At 40.5% G+C, this 4,040-nt stretch overlaps 1 annotated feature.

Annotated features, from left to right (window-relative positions):
- Positions 3,277 to 3,346: an enhancer, noted in NCBI's record as "active region_16085". NCBI's record gives its function as "activates an Ori minimal core promoter by ATAC-STARR-seq in GM12878 lymphoblastoid cells {active_cell/tissue: GM12878}" and the evidence as "EXISTENCE:reporter gene assay evidence [ECO:0000049][PMID:35858748]".

The raw sequence follows: 4,040 nt of genomic DNA on the forward strand, positions 1-4,040 counted from the left end.
AATGCCTAGCTTCAAAGCTTCAAGGAACAGGCTGACTCTCTTGTTAGGGGCTAATGCAGTTGGAGACTTTAAGTTGAAGCCAATGCTCATTTGCCATTTGGAAAATTCTGGGGTGCTTAAGAATTATGCCAAAGCTACTCCACCTGTCTGCTATAAATGAAGCAACAAAGCCTGAATGACAGCACGTTTGTTTATGGTATGGTTTACTAAATATATTGAGCCCACTATTGAGATCTATTGCTCAGAAAAAATTCCTTTTGAAATATTACTGCTCACTGACAGTGCATCTGGTCACCTAAGAACTCTGAGATATACAAGGGAATTAATGTTTTCATGCCTAACACAATATCCATTTCACAGCCCATGGATGAAGGAATGATTTAGACTTTCAAATCTATTATTTAAGAAATACATTTTGTAAGACTGTAGATGCCATAGATAATGATTCCTCTGATGGATCTAGGCAAAGCAAATGGAAAACCTTCCGGAAAAATATTATAATTTTTTTTTTTTTGAGACAGAGTCTCTTGCTCTGTCACCCAGGCTGGAGTGCAGTGGCACAATCTTGGTTCACTGAAACCTCCGTCTCCCAGGTTCAAGCGATTCTCCTGCCTCAGCCTCCTGAGTAGTTGGGACTACAGGCATGAGCCACCTCACCCAGCAAATTTTTGTGTTTTTAGAAGAAATGGGATTTCACATGTTGGCCAGGCTGGTTTTGAACTCCTGACCTCAAGTGATCCGTCCTCCTCAGCCTCCAAAAGTGCTGGGATTACAGGCATGAGCCACGCACACAGCCAGGAATTTATAATTCTTGATGCCATTTAAAATATCTGTAATTCATAAGAGGAGGTCAAAATGTTAACATTAATAGGAGTTTAGAAGTTAATTTCAACCGTCATGGATGACTTGGAGAAGTTCAAGACTTCAGTGGAGGAAGTCACTGCAGATATGGAATAAATAGAAAGAGAACTAGAATTAGAAATGGAGCCTGAAGATGTGACTGAATTGCTGCAATCTCATGATAAAACTTGAATGGATAAGGAGTCGCTTCTTATGAATGACCAAAGAAAGTGGTTTCTTGAGATGGAATGTATTACTGGGGAAGATGCTATGCACGTTGTTGAAATGACAACAAAGGATTTAGAATAGTACATAAAACCCTTAGTTGAAAAAGCATTGGCACAGTTTGAGAGAATTTACTCCAATTTTGAAAGGAGTTCTAGTGTGGGTAAAATGCTATCAAACAGCATCACATGCTACAGATAAATCTTTTGCAAAAGGAAGAGTCCATTGATACAACAAATTTCATTGTTGTCTTCTTTTAGAAAAAGGCTACAGCCACCCTAGCCTTCAGCAACCACCACCCTGATTAGTCAGCAGCCATAAACATCCATTAGCAAAAAGAGTATGACTCACTGAAGATTCAGATGATTATTAGCATTTTTTAGCAATAAAAAATTTAATTATGGTACATACATTTTTCTAGATATAATGCTATTGCACATTTAAGGGTTTAGTGTAAACATAACTTTTACATGTACTAGAAAACAAAAACATTTATGTGACTCACTTTACTGTGATATTTGCATTATAGCACTGGTCTGGAACTAAATCTACAGTATCTCTGAGGAAGTATATCTGTATTTTTATCAAAGCAACTGTTTCTCCAGATGAAATTAGAAAGCACAATTTATGAAATTCTGAATGAATTGGAATAGTAAACTCCTAGAGCTTTGTACATTCCCAAGAGAGGTTCCCATTTTCAGTGAAACAAGGTGGGGAGCCCCGAGGCCCGCAAAGGCTCATGACCAGCAGTAGACGTGCAGTGAATTGGTGTGGGCTGGCTAGACATCTGAAAGTCCTCCAACATGAAGGCTGGCCAGGTCTCAGGATCAGATGAGAGGCTTAGAAGCCAGGTATTCAGTTGTAAATCAAGACCATACACATCCCTCCATTATCTGGCATTATGTAATGGAGGGACCAAGATACCACTGGGGTAAAGGAGGACCAGGAAAAACACCCAAACTTTGACCGAGATTATTTGAAAGCAAGCAGAAGGAGAATAAGAAAAATTAAGAAATATGTGTCAATAAGATCGGAATAGTGGTTTCCCTCCGGAAGAGTGAATAATTTAATCGGGGGAACACATGGGTCTTCAAATGCATGCATAGCATTATACATCTTAAGTCAGATAGATGGTAGGTACCTCCTTGAGTGTCCAGAAGATTCAATAATACAGTTCTTAGGAGACATGTGTTACTCTTCTGGGCTGAAGAGATAAGCTGTGAAGGACTATCAGATGTAAGAAGGGTGGAGCGACTTCTTCACAAAAGGAAACTAAACTCAATTTTTCGCAAAAAAACGAAACTAAACTTTAAGACAAAATTAGTGCCCCAAGAGGGTGATGAGTAATGGTGGAGCCATCTGTAAACATCGGTAGAGGTTGCTGGAAGCAGGGAATAGACTGCTTTCAAATAGCAGGTTAGAAGTTTTCTGTCCTCAGGCTGCAGAGGCAGCAGCTCCCACTGTCACCAAGAACTCTGCTCTGGGGTTGGTGGTACATGAAGTCTCAAAATTATCTGTTCCCATAAGCTTGGGTGTGTGTGTGTCCTTCTGTGTGTTCTCTGCCATTCCACAGGCTGTGTGTGTGTGTGTGTGTGTGTGTGTGTGTTGTTGTTGCTGTTGTGTGTGGTGGGGGGGTGGGTCAGAGGGAATTCAGAGGGGGCTCAGAGGCTCCAAAATAAATAAGTGGATGAATGTCTAGTTGCCCCCTTCACCCCCGAGGTGGAAGACAGATTCTTTTAGTATCCTCCTTGCTCTATCTTTAGCAATAAAAAAAATTAATTATGCTGCATACATTTTTCTTAGATATAATGCTGTTGCATATTTAAGAGACTAGAGTTTAGTGTAAGCATAACTTTTATATGTACCAGAAAACAAAAACATTTATGTGACTCACTTTACTGTGACCATTACGGCAGTGGTCTGGAACTAAATCAACAGTATCTCTGAGGAAGTATACCTGTATTTTAATCAAAGCAACTGTTTCTCCAAATGAAACTGGAAAGCACAATTCATGAAATTCTGGTTGAATTGGAATAGCAACCTCCCAGAGCTCTGCACATTCCCAAGAGAGGTTCTCGTTTTCAGTGAGGCAGGGTGGGGTGTCCCGGGGCCTGCAGAGGCTTATGTCCTTGTTCCAGCCAAGGGAGAGAAACACAGTAGAGAACTGGACATTTGGCTGTGCTCTGGCCAAAGGTGGTGAAAATGAGCAAGAGTCCTGATCCATAGCTAACTGGGATGCCCTCGTTCCAAGCAGCACTGCTACAGTTTCTCAGGTGCATCTCACCCAAGGACACAGTCAGGCATCAGGGACCAGGGGGCAGAGTGATCTGGCCAATAGCAGGTGTGCAGGAGGCAGCAGCCTGCAGTATCCGGGGACAGCCACAGGGGTTCCCTGTATGGCCAGTGTGAAAGGCAGGAGGAGGATGTGAAACTGCTCATAGGAACACAGCCCTCTCACTGATTGCTGAGGCCAGGTGGTGGAGGGTGATAATATAAGATCATGCCCTAGAAAAGACCAGGAAACCACATGCATCAATATAACCTTTGTCTATTTCTCCCAACACATGTCTGAGCAACATACTGAGTTTAATTTAGTGTTGCATCGAAAGGAAGGAAAATACGACCTATACATGTAGATTCAAAGGGACCTTTGCTAAAATTATTACGAGATGAAGACTAGTGTCTTTTATACCGCTTGGTACTAACTCTATGAATGAGTACATTAAGAGGAATTAAAATGGCATGTCTGAATAGAACTAAAATTAGGGGAAGAGTTAATTTATGCATCATTTTTTACTAAACAATGAAATCTAAACATGTTATTTATGCTCAGTCATGAATAAAATGCAGCTTTCAATTTCTCCGTTATTGAAGGATGATTATTTCCACAGGCTTATTTAATACTTGTCTGACATCATTTAGTATAATATAATTACCTGAAATGAAATTTCATTTAAAGAAATTAATGGGGTCAT

Source organism: Homo sapiens, chromosome 2 (assembly GCF_000001405.40).
Source record: "Homo sapiens chromosome 2, GRCh38.p14 Primary Assembly".
NCBI lineage: Eukaryota > Metazoa > Chordata > Mammalia > Primates > Hominidae > Homo > Homo sapiens.